Source organism: Homo sapiens, chromosome 9 (assembly GCF_000001405.40).
Source record: "Homo sapiens chromosome 9, GRCh38.p14 Primary Assembly".
In the NCBI taxonomy this organism is placed as follows: domain Eukaryota; kingdom Metazoa; phylum Chordata; class Mammalia; order Primates; family Hominidae; genus Homo; species Homo sapiens.
Window position 1 is genome coordinate 75,060,577 of NC_000009.12, and position 18,104 is coordinate 75,078,680.

Genomic DNA, 18,104 nt, shown 5'->3' on the forward strand with positions numbered 1-18,104 from the left:
TTGTGTGTAATCTTTTTATTAATAAGCAAAAGATTGTTCAGTACATAATTTAAATTCCAGCATTGAAAGCAGCCTCAAGAGATCACACAATTCAGATCTCCTTCTGTGCTTTCCAAAGATAGGTCCCCTGGATTCCACATGATTGAAGTAATTGCTTATTTCTGTGATTTTAGACCACTGGTTTGACAAAAACAAAATGAACCACGAGGGGGGAGAAAGAAACCAGAAACCCTATTTGTAACAAAGTCTCAACAATGAGATACAATGGTATTAGATACACGCCAACACACACACACACACACACACACACACACACACACACTCAACAAAATACACAAATAATCCTAGATCTTGTAGCGAATTGTTGATTTATTCATTGTGACTGCAGCTCCTAGTAATGCTATTATTTGCAGGTGGTGAGTGTTGGTATGGGATGGTATGGAGCAACATTTTCCAAATTGTGGTTGTGATCAATATGTTTTTTATAATTAAAGACGGAAAAACATCACAGTGCATAATATATAAGGTCAATGTCTTGTGATACTTGATGTATGTATGTATCACACACACACATACACACCTACACACAAATACATAAACATACACAATGAATTCCACAGATATTGGATTGTGATGTAATCTTTATTTCTTACTCTGAGCTCCAGTTAGAAAAGTTTGACAATCATTGTTATAGAGCTATGTTCAGAAAGTGGAGACTTTCTGACTCACTGTGAGCTCTGCTGTATCTATGCGCTCCCTGGAGAGGGAGCAACTTGCTAAGGTACAGTCCTGTCCATTGGCATGGATATTTATTGTTCCACATGTTGGGAAAACCATGTGCAATAAAAATCAAACATATGAAACAATGGCTGTCATTGTACCACAGTATACATTGTATCTTGGTGAAGGTTCTTAAATTACTCCTTGGAGTTTCCTAATTCACTTCAGGAAGGATTTGTTGTGTTCCGTCTTTATGCTGTCACTTGCAAACCTTGGGAATAAACATAAAAAGAAATTAATGGAGAATTCCAATTCTCATTTTATTAAATCTTTACATCAACAACAGTAAATCTAAGGATGTTTAAATTAGAGGGATTCTGGAGCCAAAAATGCTGGTTTCCTGTAAAGAACTAAATTGAGTCCAAGTCCCATTCTTTTAATCCCTGCATTAAATTTGAAGCATACCTTAAAATATCAGATAGATATCCAATATCACTTGTAGTTCGTATAGTAATCCTTGACTTCAGAGAATGATATAGTTTGAAGACTAGAATAAAACCACAAAGGGTAGTTGTCTGCAGTATAATCCTTGTTTTGGAGTGTTATCCTTGATGTGGGGAAAGTATTGTTACTTTAATCCCTTTTCTTAAACGAAGGAAGCCCAGTGGAATACTTGATTTGGCATAGAAATTCAATGATAAACCTACCACATTCTTATTACACAGCTGATGTTGCAAAGCACACATTTTTTGGGTAGTATTTCATTTTTGAAATATGTAAAATGTAAAAATGATTACATCCTTTGACTACATAAGTGACACTTCTGGGAATTTACTCCAGGGATATAATTCAAAAAGAAGACAACCAACAAAGAGTAGGTGTAGATATTTTTTATGGCATGTGATATATCCATGTGAAACACTTGTAACAACAGTAAATATCCAACAATTGGGAAATGGTTAAGTGATCTTATGTTAATTTGGACTACTGTACCAGATAATTATACTATAATTTTATAATGAGATTATATTTTATATTTAATGAGAAAAATACAAACATCTGATAATTAAATTTTATTTTGCAACTTCTTATTCTTTTGATTTGGAACTAGACATGTGACATGTTTCTTCTGTACTAAAGGGTCAATGTCAAGTCTTACATTTCTCTTCAGTGTACAAAACAGAACTCAGCCTTGATTTTTTTTTTAACTGGAAGAGCTACTTAGTTTCATTATATAATGAAATCTATAAAGCTGCATAAATATTAAATACTAATTTAAAAACAGAGATAAGCATGGCTGATTAACTACACTGTCCTTGCAGTCTTGTAAAAGACAGATTGATGTGAACAGCAAAAAGACTGGATGTGTACTCATTAAAATGTTAACACTAATGATTGGAGGGAACACAGGTAATTACTTCCTCCCTTTTGCTTTCTATTAAACATTTAAAAAGGCTGAGCATGGTGGCTGATGCCTGTAATCCCAGCACTATGGGAGGCCAAGGCAGACGGATTACCTGAGGTCAGGAGTTTGAGACCAGCCTGATCAACATAGCAAAACCCCGTCTTAACTAAAAATACAAAAATTAGCAGGGCGTGGTAGTGCGTACCTGTAATCCCAGCTACTTGGGAGGCTGAGGTAGGAGATCACCTGAACCCAGAAGGTGGAGGTTGCAGTGAGCTGAGATCGTGCCACTGCACTCCATCCTGGGCGACAGAACAACTCCATATTGGCTGGGCACAGTGGTTCACACCTGTAATCCCAGCATTTTGGGAGGCCGAGGCGGGCGGAGGTCAGGAGATTGAGATCACCCTGGCTAACATGGTGAAACCCCGTCTCTACTAAAAAAATATAAAAAATTAGCCAGGTGTGATGGCTGGCACCTGTGGTCTCAGTTACTCGGGAGGCTGAGGCAGGAGAATGGTGTGAACCCAGGAGGCGGAGCTTGCAGTGAGCCGAAATTGTGCCACTGCACTCCAGCCTGGGCGACAGAGCGAGACTCCATCTCAAAAAAAAAAAAAAAGAAAGAAAAAAAGACTCCATATGAGAAAAATAAAAAATAAAAATAAATAAAACAAAAAATAAAAAACCTTAAAAATAATGTTTTTATAATGAGGTGAAAATAAATGTTTTTAAAGGGAGTTTGAATGTTCCTGGTGGCTAGACTACTTTGTTTTAGTAAGAATAAGGAAATAATTAAATTTTGCCTCATACTTTGGATTTAAATAAGGATTAAATTAAATGTGTAACTCCATTCTCTTACTCTGTTGGATAATTTATTGTTTCATTAACAATTAAATTCAGTCTTTCTTGTTTCCCCTTCATTATTATTACCTTATCATAATTATGATTTTATGTACTTAAGACTGAAAAATTAGCTAAACAAGTTTATGAGATGTGAGAAAAAAAACCCTGAAGATTAGTCACTAGAAACACTGAAAGGCCTCCCCAGCTAGCTCAGTGTGTGTCATACTCAGGGTTAAACCAGGCTATGCTGAGGGTACCTTCAGGAAAGCTTTGCCAGGATACTGTGGATGGAAGAAATAGGAAAGGTGATAGGTTACTAGAAATAAAACAGTAACTTATTTATGTAACTGAGAAAAACCAGCATAAATGTTGGAGGTAAGAAAAGCTGATGTATTTCTGTTTTTATCCCTCTTTTAAGTTTTTTTTTTAAACTTTAACTAATATCTAGAAGCCTCAAATGGCATAGCTAAATACTTTCCTGCCTGCCTCTAGGATGTAGGGAAGGAAGGAGGGGCGTCACAACACAGGGAAATGCACTTTCTTGTGAGCTAGCAGCACCTGTCAAAACATGTCAGCTGTTCTTGGGCTTTGGAACAGATGGTGAAGACTGAATTTGGAATGGAGCTGGTTGCAATTTACCTGAGCTACATGACAAAGGCTACTTTCATCTTTATCAGTAGGTAGATCATAAGGCCAAACTCCAGTGTATCACTTAGTCATAAAGGAAAGCTGGACCCAAGCACTGGCCATTGCTGAGAAGACAAAGAGCTATAGGTGTCCAACAGCTGAAACACTCCTGGAAGTGCCTCATTAGGGACAGAAAGGGGAGCCAATAACTCTCAGAGAAGTGGCTCTGGCTCATGTGCTATCATTTATGAAGGCTGAGCCCCTCCCTTCACCCCACACCCTCTATATCCACTCATGTTGGTGCTCTGAGATTCATTATGGAAGGCCTGACTTTCATCAAAGTAACAGATGGCAGGAGTGGGCGGGCATATCTGGCAAGGATTCTAAATTCTACTTGCAAGAAGAAAATTTAAAATGGTCCTGAAATTCCTTCAAATGGGTTCATGCCTATATGATGGGCTGATCCTGAAATCAACAATGTTTAGGATCAATGAGCTGCCTAGTTGGGCTCAGTCTCCTAGTCAAAGAGGAATTTATTGAGGATGTAGGTAGGAAATCTAATTCTTACTGAGGAAGGACAACATTTGGACTAGGGCAATTGCTTCTCACCAAAAAAAACATATAATATTCTTCACTGCTGGAGTGAGTCATACTGTCTTCTCTGAGCCAGCTGATGATTGCATTTTGCTGGTGTTAGCCATGGAAGTTCTTTTAATTCAAATAGTTCAAATATAACAACAGCTACATCTACAGTTTTGTCCCTTAAGCATGTTTTTTCGACTTTCTTCTTCTGGTTTCTACCTCCTGCCCTGCTTTCTCTTTGGGAAATTTTTGATTTTTTAATTTTTAGAAATAGGGCTGTCTGTCTCCCAGGGTGGAGTGCAATGGCACATTCATGGCTCACTGCAGCCTTGACTTCCTGGGCTAAAGCCATCCTCCCACCTCAATACCCTGAGTAGCTGAGATTATAGGCACGTGCCACTATGCCCAGCTAATTTTTTATTTTTATTTTTTTGAGACAGAGTCTCACTCTGTCACCAGACTGGAGTGCAGTGGCGTGCAATCTTAGCTCACTGCAATGTCTGCCCCCGGAGTTCAAGAGATTCCCCTGCCTCAGCCTCCCGGGTAGCTGGGACTGCAGGCGCGCACCACCACACCTGGCTAATTTTTTGTATTTTAGTAGAGACGGGGTTTCACCATGTTGGCCAGGATGGTCTGGATCTCCTGACCATCATGATCTGTCTGCCTCGGCCTCCCAAAGTGCTGGGATTACAGATGTGAGCCACTGTGCTTGGTAGCTAATTTTTAAAAAATTTTAATTTTTGTAGAAATGGAGTCCCTCTCACTATGTTGCTCAGGCTGGTCTTGAACTCCTGGCCCCAAGCAATCCTCCCAATTTAGCCTCCCAAAGTGCTGGGATTATAAACGTGAGCCATTGCAACTGGCCAGAGAAATTTTTAAAATCAGAAGGTGTTAGGTGGGGTATTCAATTACAAGATGGGTTATGTGATGTAGGCCTGGCCAATCAGAGTATGCCATCTCCCTGGCCATAGTGATTGGTTTGGCAAGTCATGTGATCCAGCAGGACCAATCATCTGGGCTACAACAGAACATTGCTTTTTAGAAAACTATTTAAAATAAAGAATTTCAAATTTATGCAAAAGAAGTGAGAATAAATATGAACCTCCTTGTACTCAATATCCAGCTCCAACATTTATCAACTCGTTGTCAAATCTTGAAAAAGATATCTTTTTACCCTGGGACTGATGGACCTAGGAGGATGTTGTTGTCAACAGACATCAGGTCAGTGGAGAGCCTGACTTCAAAATAAACCCTAAATAGAAAGTAGAATAGAAGCAGAGTCCTGAGGACCTTATTTGAGTTCCTTAACCCATTAATGTTGGAGGTTGCAAATTATTTTTGTGAAAAACGAGACCTTGGTGATGACCTTCAGCAGTAGGATATAAATAACTCCTACAAGCTTAGAGTTCCAACAATGGAACACTAGGCATAAATGAGTTAATCCAGCTGAGCCTGAAGCCACCATTACCCCTGTACTGTCTTTCTGCTGTAGCCATATTTAGGCAGATCCCTGTCACTTGCAAACAGTGCCGTCCAATATGAAAACCTTAAACAAACACTTCATAATACTTTTTAAAATCTTTTGTTTATCTTTGAGGTATTTGGAAAGTAGAAATTTTACAGAAAGTCTTTAAGGGAATAAAAGAAAAGGGGAGCTCTGGACATACTAAAAAAAATCATCAGCATTTTAATTATACTGTGCCCAAAGGATACTTCCAGTCCCATTTGGTACAGCCATCTACTAAAAGTTTTAAAGTAAATCACATAAATAGCATTAAGAGATGTAACAAAGGGTACATGGTTTTACCCCTAAAAACAGACAAAATAATTGAGTCTCCAAACCCCCCCCCAGAATTTCTGATTCTGAATTATCCTCAAAGCAAAGAATGGATGAGCACAATCACTCCTACACTAGCATTCTGGTATTCCATTCTTTCATATGTAATGAATGATTTTCCTGGCTGTTTCTCCTCTACCATCCACTTTGTTAGCACAATACTTACACTTTTGCTTTGCTAGTTCTTGTATTAGATCTTCATATACTTGCAAAAAGAGGTCCTCTTCAGATTTTGTTCCATCCAGGTACACTACGAAGGGGAAAAGAGAGCAGTTCAAATGCTAACAGGCTTATTAATATACAATGTTTACTTTGACACCCAACATCTCTTGTAAATGCCAATAGGTTTAACCAAGGCACCCAGGACCATAACTTAAAAGGAAATTAATAGTGATTAAAGAAAGAAATAGATGCTAGCCAGCTATAATAGGTCAAAAATATTGGATTGTTACAGATAAATCCACACTGGCTTATGTGAAAATTATTTAATTAAAAGAGAAGAGAAAGAAAGAAGAAAGGAGGAAAGAAACAGAAGAAAGAAAGTGGTGTTGTGCATACGGCACTTTAGGTGCACTGAAGGTGTTCACCCAAAAGGGTCACTTAAGGAGTAATTCTTCAACATACTTATACATCAGGATCACCTGGGAAGCTTCTTAAACAATGCAGTGGTCTGGGATCTGCAACATATGTACAAACTCAGAATTCACCAGGCTCAGAAAATATGTATTGTGTGTGTGTGTATGTTTGTGTGTGTGTGTGTGTGTTTTCTGCTATCAGAGAAAAGACGTATTTTTAATAAAACTGGCATAAGCAGCTTTGGAGAAAAAGTAGAAGTTGTCTAGGTTAAAGGAAGGAAAGGGCCTTCTGGTCAGAAAACAGCATGAGTAGGGAGAGGCAAGAGCACTGATGCACCCTTTGGAATGGCTAGAATATGGGGAAGCTCCAGGAACAGCGTGAGATGAGATTTTAGAGCAAGGGTGTACCTCAGTACCTCAGTCGTTAGAGGCCTTGATGTCTGGCTGTTTGGATTGTATCTCAAAGATCTGGAGATGACTCAAGGTATTCAGCAGAGCAGGAGCCTGATTAGATTTGCATTTTAGGTAAAAGGGAGAGAAGGGAAGCAAGAGGATGTTCTTGCAACCAATGGTCCAAGTTGGACGTGGTGCAGCCAGAATCTCAGCATTGGCCCTGGGGGTACACTCTGTGTGCATTCCACATGGCTCTGACATAGCTGCCTATCCTGGAGGCCAACAGGCTTCTCACAACACAGACAAGTCCCCTTTATTGTGAAAAGCATACATCAGTTCTAACTCCTTTGCCTTATCCAACAGCCTTCTGCCATCTTCCCTGCATTGAGTGCCCTATTCCAGTGATCTGTTCTTAGCTCAAGCCCACAGATCCGGATGCTTACCTCCAAATTGCTACATATGTCTCCCAGGCACCTCAACCTCATTATGTGCAAAAGAGACATGCATTCCTCCCTTACAGGTCTGCAATGCCTTCACTTTTTTCTAACATCTGTCAGTTGCTGAGGCATCTGTCATCTTCCCGCCCCCTCCATAGCTGTTCTATCACCCAGTTCTACTGAGTGCGGGCGTCCAACATCACACCCTATAAATCTATCCTCCTCCATTCTCCACACAGCCAGAGGGGTCTTAACTAAAACAAGAATTTTTATCAATCATGCCCTTGTTTAAAACTTCTCTCTAGAGAGCTTCTTACTTCTCTGAGAACAATGATCAAAGTCCTTACCTAGATTATTGGCCTTATAGGGTCTGGACCCTGCCTGTATCACTAGCATCAATCCACTCCCCTGGTTTTCTTTACTAGAAAGCTTTCTCAACACCAGCTTTCTTTCAGGGGTTTCTCATTCCTTCCTGTCCCCTGGCCCTTTCGTGTGCCACACCCACTTTCTGGGGTAATCTTCTATCTCCCCAACCCATCTCCTTTGTTCAGTTAAACTCATTGAAGTTTGGTTAAATGTGACTTCCTCAAGGAAGCCTTTCCTGACTACCGGGATCTCGGCAGTCCCCTAGAACTTGGTGTCGCAGAACTTACAGCAGCTGGAAAGGACAGGCTTGGGCCGCTGGTATCTCTAGCACCTGTTTCCATGATAGAATGTTACCTGCATAAGAGCAGGGGCTGGGTCTGCCTCATTCCCCTCACCATCTCCAGGGCAGCACTGGAAGGCATTCATTCAATACTGGTTGAATGAATAACCATCCAGAAGCTGACAAGAGCCACAGAGAGAAACAGAAACCAGGAGAACCAGCTATGGAAAAGGAGAAGCCCAGAGTGTTCTTGCTTAAGCATCCCTTTATACTTTTCTATGAGTCCTTTCTTTTCTATACTTTGAGGCAAATGACAAGTAAAAGGCCTTGAACAGAAGGAGAAAAGGCACTTACCAACTTCCCATGTGATGTCCTGCATTTCTTGTCTGTACTTTAGATACATGGGCCACACATGGCCATCAAAGTATCCCGGAGAGTCTGGAGGCTGATAGACCCTTGTACTATCAAAACACGTAGGAAACTTTATGTTGACAGAAACACACAATTGATAAAGTAAAATATGAATGGTCAGGATAATGGGGAAATCACTCAGAGGCTGAATCTAAACAGGATTAGGACTACATGTACTACATGTTTTAACTCAATGGCAGTTAGAACGACAGTAACATGGATTTAGTTCTTTGATATTAAAATTAACTTTGTAATCCACTGACTATCATTCTTAATTATTCTTTTTCCTTCTAGTGCTTTATAAGAGAACTAAGAGACAAATAGTGTAAATAACAATGGAGAGACCACTATGTTGGATTAAGCTTTGAACTAATTGGTGTTCTTTGTAGCTGTGGCAGAACAGGCTCACTTACATTAAAATCCTAATCACCATGGGCTTGCTTTGTTTGAGGATTTAGGAGAAATGAGCCGAAAGCTTGATATAAGGCCCTTTTCTTAGAAAGTAATTTGCATTACTCCATGCGGATGACCATTTATGGAAAAGAGTTTTGCTCCTTTTGTAAAAGAGTTAAGGCTTCCTGTCTCTGAAAAATGACGTATACGCATTGCTCAATAATGTTGCTGTCCTCATTTTTCTTCTACATTTTTTGTTTTGAATTACAACTCACAAAGATGGCTTCAAAACTTACCTCCTCCTCCTTTTACATTCTTCATATGGAATAGTCAGGAAATAGCTTCTATTCCATATAGTGTCAAGGGGCCTAAAATAACAGCATACTTAGTTCACAAGGGTTTTTATCCCCCCATTCACTCAGAGACAATATTAGGGTGGAGATGCTTACTTATAATTAAAAAGAAGAAAACCTTCGATGATTAAAATGGGAATTTCCTCAGCACTTTCCTGGTCTGTTGATACCACAGAGTGTCTTGCGCTTTCCATCCAGCAGGAAATGGCTGACATCATTTTTTCCATGTTAAGTGCTTCAAGCACTTCAAACAAACACACAAAAATATGCAATCAATATAGCACAAAATTTTGTGATGTGACTTTTTGTGATGAGTATATCCAGGATTCTGTAAATATATACACCACCATTTTATTTCCCTTCAAAACTCCTAATAACAAATAATTTAGATAACATGTGGAAACTCTAATGCTGACAAACCACAGTGAAACATTTTTATTATGGAAAATTTCGAACATACAAAAAAGTAAAGTACAGTGAACTCCTAGGTCCCTATTACCAGCTCTGATAATCAGAAACCCATGGCTAACCTTGCTTTACTTATAACTTCGATTCTCTCCTGACTACACAAAAATTTAAAATTTTTAGAAGATGAAATATCTACAGATAAGTTTGAAAGATACATGACACATGGAGGGAAATATCTGTAATGTCTTTGGCAAAGAGTTAAGATATTTAATATACCAAAGAGCTCTTCTAGATAAATAACTAAAAGTCAGACTATTTGTAAAGAACACAAATATGTCATTGTCACACTCTAAAAATGTACATACTTCTCGAGTTAATTGTGATTTTAGAAAAGTAGCCTATAGCTTTTAAAAGTATGGTACTTAAACCAGTAGTATTAGCATCACCTGGGAACTTGTCAGAAATGCAAATTCTCAGCTCCACTCCAGAACTACTGAATTGAGCCAACAGCACTTAAGAGTGTTTTTTAGTGGAAGGTTTTTAAATGATGGATTAATTTATTTAATAGACATAGGACTATTAAGATTTTTTTCTTTGTTCTGGTGTTAGTTTTGGTAAGCGATGTCTTTCTAGGAAATTGTCAATTTCACCTAACTTTTCAAATTTATTTGTATAGCAAGAGTGTTCATAATATCCTTTTATCTCTTTAATGTCTGTAGGATCTACAGTGATATTACCTTTTTTGCTTTTGGTATTTGTAATCTGTTCCTTCTCTATTTTTTTTTTAATCAGACTTATTTAATCTGGGGATTGCTCAGATTCTTGAAGTTTTATGTCTTAAACCAAATTTGAGAAGTTTTTTTTTTAAACCATTACTTCTTTGAATACTTTTTTAGTCCCACACTTTCTCCTGAGACTCCAATGATATGAATATTAGATCTTTCATTATTGTTCCACATTTTTATTCATTTCTTTTCAGTCTATTCTCTGTTGTTCAGATTGAGTAATTTGTATTGTTCTGTCTTTAAGTTCACTAATTATTTTCTCTGTCATAGTTACTCTGCTAATGAGCCAATCCAGTGATTTTTCAAATTTTGGTTAATGTATTTTTTCCACTCTAAAATTTCCATCTGGTTCTTTTTTCAAATCTTCTATTTCTTTACTGAGGCAGTCTAGTTTTTCACTTGTTTCAAGCCTGTTTGCAATATTATGTTTACAGCCTTTTAATAATGCTGCTTTCAATTCTTTGTCAGATAATTTCAACATCTGTGTGATCATGGTATTGGTGTCTGTTGATTGGTTTTTCTTAGTCAAGTTGAGACTTTTCTGGTTCTTGGTATAATAAGTGATTCTCAGCTGTGTCCAGGACATTTTAGATCCTGTGTTATGAGGCTGTAGATCCTATTTAATCTTCTTTTGCAGGCAGTCACTCTGTTCTGGTATAGCTTGCAGGTTCAGGTGGGGGTGGATGCTCTGCTTCCTGCTAGGCCCTGCTGATGCTGTGTTGTGGGGGAAGTTGGTCCATTGTGAGAAGAGGGCGTCAAGGAGAGTGCTGGTTAAGTTTCATTGCTGCTAGTTGTGGGTAGAAGTTCAGCTTTCCACTGGGTTCTGCTGACAGGAGCTGACACGCCCTGAGTAAGGAAGGTGAAGTGCCAACCTGCTCCACTGCACACTGCCTCTTTCCACCTGAGTACTGCCAGGTGGAGGCGAAAGTGCAGCTTCCTGTTTGGTTCCACTGATCCAACCCCCATGGGTGACGTGGAGGGGTGACTCACCCTGCCTTGCTAATGCTGAATGGATCTTCTGGAAGTCTAGCTCCGCACCAAGCTAACAAAATGAAGGGAGGACAGTTTTGCCTTTTGTGTCTGGCTAGAGTAGGGTGGATATTATCAAAAAGTTTTTCTATTCTGGTAGGCCACCCTTTTCCTTGTCCCTTTTTTAGCCTGTGCCTATGGATGGTTCCATGTTGTATACTTCTCCTGTATATGTAGGAGGCAAAAAGAAAACCCATGGATCCCATAGCCATGTCATTCCTCCCGTCCTGGAATCTTTAGCCAGCATGCTTTCTTTTTTCCTTTCAGTCTTCCTTTGTCTGTTTGTTGCATTACGTCTAGGGTTTTTCATTGCAGTGGGGAGGAACAGTGAGCAATGGGACTAATCCATCTTGGCTGGAACCAGCAGTCTTACTACTTTTGATATATTTTTGTATCATTCAGTTAAAAATATTTTCTAATTTTCATTGTGATTTAGCTTTTGACCCAAGGAATAGATAAGTGTTTTGCTTCAGATAAACTACAATGATGTTTGGGATTTGCTTCAAAACAATATAGGTGAATAGAGTGGGTGAGGGTATAGATGAAATATAATTGGTCAAAATTTCATCATTATTAAAACTGGATGGCGAACTCAAGAGAGAGTTCATTATACTTTTCTGCTGACTTCTGCATATCTTTGAAATTTTCCATTAGAAAAAGTTTTTGAAAATCAGAAAAAAGGGTAATGCTTACTTTTCAAACATTTGGTTATTGATTTTTAATTTACTTCATGGTGATTATAGAGTATCTTTACATTTCTTCAATCCATAAAATGTATTAGGACTTACTCCATGCCCTTGCATATATGGACTGTTTGGGGTAATATATTCCATGTACTCAAGAAAAAAAAATATGTATTCTGCTGTTATTAGGTGCATGTTCTGTACATGTCAGTTTTTGGTCAAGTTAGTTAATTGTATTGTTCAAATCTGTTATATCATTAGCAATTTTTGTCTGTGAGTCTCATTAGTGGCTGTTATGAGTTGAATGCGTCCCCCTATGTTAAAGTCCTAATGCCCAGTTCTCCAGAATGTGACTGTTTGGAAATATGGTCATTACAGATACAATCAGTTAAGGTGAGGTCACACTGGAGTAGGGTGGGTACCTGATGCAATATGACTGGTTACAGAAGGAGAAAATTCAGACACACACAGGGAGAGCACCATGTGGAGATGTAGTCAGGGACTGGGGTGATGCAGCCGAAACCAAGGCTGCCGGAGATTTCAGCAAACACCAGAAGCCAGGAGAGGGGCACCGAAAAGAGTCTCCCTCACAGCCTCAGAGGGAACCCACCCTGCTGACACCTGGATCTCAGACTTCTGGCCTCTTGAATTGTGAGACAATAATTTTCTGTTGTTTAAGGCATTCTGTGGTACTTTGTTATGTTGCCCTAGCAAACTAATACACAAAGGAAGTTGTGTTAAAATCCCCCTCATCAGCTAGGCGTGGTGGCTCACACCTGTATCCCAGTACTTTGGGAGGCTGAGGTGGGCAGATCACCTAAGGTCAGGAGTTGGAGACCAGCCTGGCCAACATGGCAAAACCCCAAATCTACTTTAAAAAAAAAAATTAGTCAGGCGTGGTGGTGTGTGGCTGTAGTCCCAGCTACTCAGGAGGCTGAGGCATGAGAATTGTTTGAACCTGGGCAGCAGAGGTTGCAGTGAGCCAAGATCACACCACTGCACTGCAGCCTGGGTGACAGAGTGAGACTCCATCTCAATAAAAAATAAACAAACAAACAAAAAACTCCCACACCGATTGTGGATTTGTGTCTTTCTCTCCTCTTAGCTCTGTCAGTGTTTACTTAATGCATTTTAATGTTATGGTATTAGGTAGATAAAAATTTTAGGTTGTTTTATCTTCCTGTCGAAGTAACTCATTTCTCTCTCTCTCAGTAATACTCAGCCTTAAAGTTTACTTCGTTTGGTATTAGTATAGTTGCTAGAGTTATAACAGTTCTTTCAGTAGGTGTTTCCATCATGGATCTTTTTCTAGCCTTTTACGGCCTATATTTCTATGTCCTTATACATATCCTTTTTCTTTTTTTTCTTTTTTGAGACAGAGTCTCGCTCTGTTGCCCAGACTGGAGTGCAGTGGCACAACCTTGGCTCACTGCAACCTCAGCCTCCCAGGTTCAAGTGATTCTCCCGCTTCGGCTTCCTGAGTAGCTGGGACTATAGGCGTGAGTTACCGCACCTGGCCATTAAGTCTTTCTCTTTTAAGGAGCTTATTGTTGGCTTAAAAAAAAAAATACCAGTCTGACAATTTTTGGAGTATTTTAGTTCCTTTCACTTAATGTGGCTACTGGTATATTTGGGCTTAAATCTATCATCTTACTATTATTTTCTATTTTTCCACCATCTTTTGATTTATTTATTTATTTTTTTGAGACAGTCTCACTCTGTCACCTAAGCTGGAGTGCAGTGGCATATCTCGGCTCACTATAGCCTTTGCCTCCCGGGCTCAAGTGAGCCTCTCGCCTCAGTCTCCTTGGTAGCTGGGACCACAGGTGCGCACCACCACACCTGGCTAATTTTTGTATTTTTTGTAGAGACAGGGTTTTGCCATGTTGCTCAGGCTGGTCTTGAACCCCTTGGACTCAAGTAATCTACCCACCTTGGCCTCCCAAAGAGCTGGGCTTACAGGTGTGAGCCACCACACCCGGCCATCCCTTGATTTTTAATTTTTGTTTTGACTTCTTTCATATTAATCAACTATATTCCATTGAAAATGAATTATTTCCTCTACAAACTTGGTAGTTCCACATTTTAAAACTATCCTGTTTGTGCTCAGAAAGCCTTGACTAGTACTTTGATTTACCTTAAATTTGTACATTTACCTAAAATGTTCAAGTTTTTCCTTAAGATAGATTCCTGATGTGAGATGCTTGAAGTCATGGCATGAACATGCTAAGTTTGGGACACATGCTCAACCTCCTTTCCAGAAAGACTGTACCAATTTATCTATATACTTCCATCTAAAGTATATTAGGGCCTTTGTTTTACTGAGCCCATGCTATCACTGGCTAATTATCATTGCTTTAAACATCTTCGTTTACTTGGTAAGTGGGAAAAAAAGTAACTTGCAGTTCTTTAAGGTTGACTTTTATTGTACATTTATTAATCCAATAACTGACTGCTTCTATGAAGAGCTTATTCACATCCTTAGGCCCTTTTCCTACTGGGATATTAGTTTTTCTTATCAGTTTGTAAGAATTCATTAAAAATTAGAAATAGTAATTCTTTTCCAATTGTTGAAAACTGTTTTTCCTTGTTTTTCACCCTTACTTTGTAATGATTTTTCTCACTAACCTCTGGACGAGAGGAAGAGAAGAAAAAAAAAATGATCCTGGCTGCAACTCAAGATGCAAGAACAGAGAGTGAGTCAAGAATTTTGCCTCTCATAAAACTATTATGTGTCTGTAAGAACTGATTGATAACACTTTTCCTAAAAGGTTATCAGTTAAAAATAGAGAACATTATGACTTTTTAAAGAGAGCTCCCTCTGTCACTAGTTTGTGTAAGTATTCAATGATCATCTTTTTAATTATAAAAGTTAATAAGATAATCAAATATTAAACTGCCTATTAGCATGATATTCTCTACAAAAAATGTTTTATGATAGGCTGTAATCCTTTGGCTTCAAAACTGTGAGCTTGGAGTAAGGAATGAGGAGAATCCATCTAAAATATATTCACAAACCTTTCTGAACAGAGAAAAAAACAAAACCAAACCACAGTGGCCTAGTACTTTGGCCACCAAGAAGGAAAGCTGAAAGAATGAGAGAATATAGTTTGCTCCAGGCAAAATTCTCTCATGGGTGGTTGAGGGTGGCCAATGTAGCTACTTATACATCTTCAGAACAGGAATGGGCAGAGGGACAGCAAGCCTAACTTGCTTCAGAAGAAAACCCTGTGATTCCATGTGGAGAAAGGGGAACCATCATATACTATTGGAAGGAATGTAAATTAGTACAGCCACTATGGAGAAGTACAGAGATTCCTCAAAAAATTAAAAATAGAACTACCTCATGATCCAGCAATTCTATTACCAGGTATATATCCAAAATAAAAGAAATCAATATATCCAAGAAATAGCTGCACTCCCATGTTTATTGCAGCACTATTCACAAATAGCCAGAATATGAAATGAACCTAAATACCCATCGATGAATAAATGAACAAAGAAAGTATGGTGTGTATATGTAATGGAATATCATGCAGCCTTAAAAAGAATGAAGTCCTGTCATTTGCAGCAACATGGATGGAACGGGAGGCCATTATGTTAAATGAAATAAGTCAGGCATAGAAAGACAAATATCCCATGTCCTCATGCATATGTGGGAGCTAAAACAAGTGGATTTCATGAAGATAGAGAGTAGACTGGTGGTTACCAGAGACCCGGAAGGGGAGGCAGGTGGGGGGGAATGAAGGGAGAAAAAAAAGTATTTATTACAAATGAACTGTACACTTAAGATTGGTAAAGATAGTAAATTATATAGGCATATTTTACCTCAATGAAAAAGAAGAAAAATCTATCATTTCAGTGTTTTCAGTTTTATTATTTCATTTTAAAAAATATATATTTTTGAGACAGGGTCTCACTCTGTCACCCAGGGTGGAGTACAGTGGTGCGATCTCGGTTCACTGCAGACTCAGTGTCCTGGGCAAAGTGATCCTCCCACCTTAGCCTCCAAAGGAGCTGTGACTACAGGCATGCACCACCACACCTGGCTAATTTTTGTATTTTTTTGGGTAGAGATGGAATCTCCCTATGTTGCTCAGGCTGGTCTGAAACTCCTGAGCTTAAGTGATCTGCCTGCCTCGGCCTTCCAAAAGTGCTGGCATTACAGGTGTAAGCCTCCAAGCCTGGCCCCAGTGTTTTCAGTTTTAAATATAAAACTGGAAAAAGGTTTTAACTTATTTAAATAGTTCAACATAAATCAGAAACCTACAAATGCAGGCTTAAAGTACAACAATATATTTAAACACATTTTAAGACTGCCTTCACAGATATAGTGAAGTTCTTTTTTTAAATTTTTGTTCCACAGAACCATCAACTTCAACATAGTGAAGTTCTTTGGGTTTGAAAAAGAAAATGAACATAAGCATATAATATTTGACAAGTAAATCTACTTACCATCGTACTGCAAAAATCCATTTTTATCTGTCTCTATCTCAGACTCTGGCTGGAAAAATAATAAAGTACCCATCAAAACAGTGTGTAGGAAAGAAATAATACAATTATAGACTAAAAAGGAGAGAAGTCTTTAATAAATGCTTTGGATGATCAAAGAAAGATCAGCACTGATAGACAGTGCCATCTAGTGGATAAGTAACACCATTGCACTGAGCCTAATTTCAATACAAAACGTAAATCTCTAGCCAAAGACTTCTTGGATGTAATTCAATTAACGTGGTGGTTAAACATTTTTGTATTAAATAAATAATTTAAGAAGTTTTATAGATACCTTGAAGAAATCATCCTGAGATATGACACTGCAATTTGGGAGGTGTTTCTGCAAATTCTTAGCCAGTGTTGTTTTGCCACTGTTTGTCACACTGAAGCAAAGAAAAAAGAAAGTACCAAGAAGGAAAATGCATTAAAAATCATTAAACACTTTTTTTTTTTTGAGAGACAGGGTCTCGCTGTGTCACCAAGGCTGGAGTGCAGTGGTGCAATCTTGGCTCACTGCAACCTCCGATTCATGGGTTCAAGTGATTCTCCTGCCTCAGCCTCCCGAGGAGCTGGGATTACAGGTGCCCGCCACCATGCCCGGCTAATTTCTGTATTTTTAGTAGAGATGGGGTTTCGCCATGTTAGACAGGCTGGTCTGAAACTCCTGACCTCAGATGATCCACCTGCCTTGGCCTCCCAAAGTGCTTGGACGTGAGCCACCAGGCCTGGCCCAAAATTAAACACTTTAAAATAATTTTTTAAGAGGGTATTTAAAGCAATATTTACTATTTAAGAAAAAAATGATTTCTTTCATAGATAGTGCCTTAAACCACAGGCACTGGTAGATCTGATGTACTTAATAATAAGAAATAAGCTGGGAAAGATGAAGGAGAAAGGTAACTACCAAGTAAGGGAACTGAGTAACACTAACACTTAAAAATACAGACACTGTGTTGGAAGCAAAATTTTTTTTGCCTATGTCAAAATATTCACATGGTTCATATGCAACACAGAGAATATGAGTAGCACATTTTAGTGCAAGTGTATAAAACTGCATATGGTCACTGTGATTTTGCCTCAAGGCACAGTGGAAAAAACAGAGGAGTGGCTTATTACAAGCCCACCTACCATGAAATCACATTTCCTCTGCGATGCCTCCTTTTCCCCATCTCTCTCCACCTGGGGGCCAGCTGGGAGGTCTGCTGTAGCTTATCACAACAGGCCAGTTATTTGTCTCTTCTGACCGGACTGTGAAGTCCAGGAGAAGGGGCACTGAGTTACTCCTCTTTAGATCTAGTTTTGCAGCATCGAGGAGATCACACGGGAGGGAGGCACTTCTCGATTCAGTCATTTATTGAAAGCGTGTTTTAACCTGGGGCTCATGTCTGTGAACATAAGTCAGGGCATCTGTGAACTTGAATGAGAAAAAAATTATACCTTTATTTTCATTGAATTCTGACAGAAATTTAGCATCTCCTTTAAT

General features: G+C 38.9%; 1 protein-coding gene across 13 annotated transcripts in view; it reads right to left on the reverse strand.

Annotated features, from left to right (window-relative positions):
• Positions 1-18,104, reverse strand: part of NMRK1 (nicotinamide riboside kinase 1) — a 27,579-nt gene continuing 9,475 nt past the window's right edge. For 4 of the 13 annotated variants that reach the window (NM_017881.3, XM_006717163.3, XM_047423549.1 and 1 more), the window contains 7 exons: positions 16,914-17,004; positions 16,583-16,631; positions 9,319-9,466; positions 9,166-9,237; positions 8,420-8,526; positions 6,181-6,264; positions 1-991 (listed from right to left, as the gene is read on the reverse strand). In NM_017881.3, coding sequence (NP_060351.1) covers positions 972-991; positions 6,181-6,264; positions 8,420-8,526; positions 9,166-9,237; positions 9,319-9,466; positions 16,583-16,631; positions 16,914-17,004 — 571 coding nt within the window. In that variant the 3' untranslated portion in view covers positions 1-971. Of the gene's footprint in view, positions 992-6,180; positions 6,265-8,419; positions 8,527-9,165; positions 9,238-9,318; positions 9,467-16,582; positions 16,632-16,913; positions 17,005-17,749; positions 18,036-18,104 lie in introns of all 13 variants that reach the window. The other 9 variants (NM_001330678.2, XM_047423548.1, XM_011518817.2 and 6 more) reach the window with 4 other exon arrangements.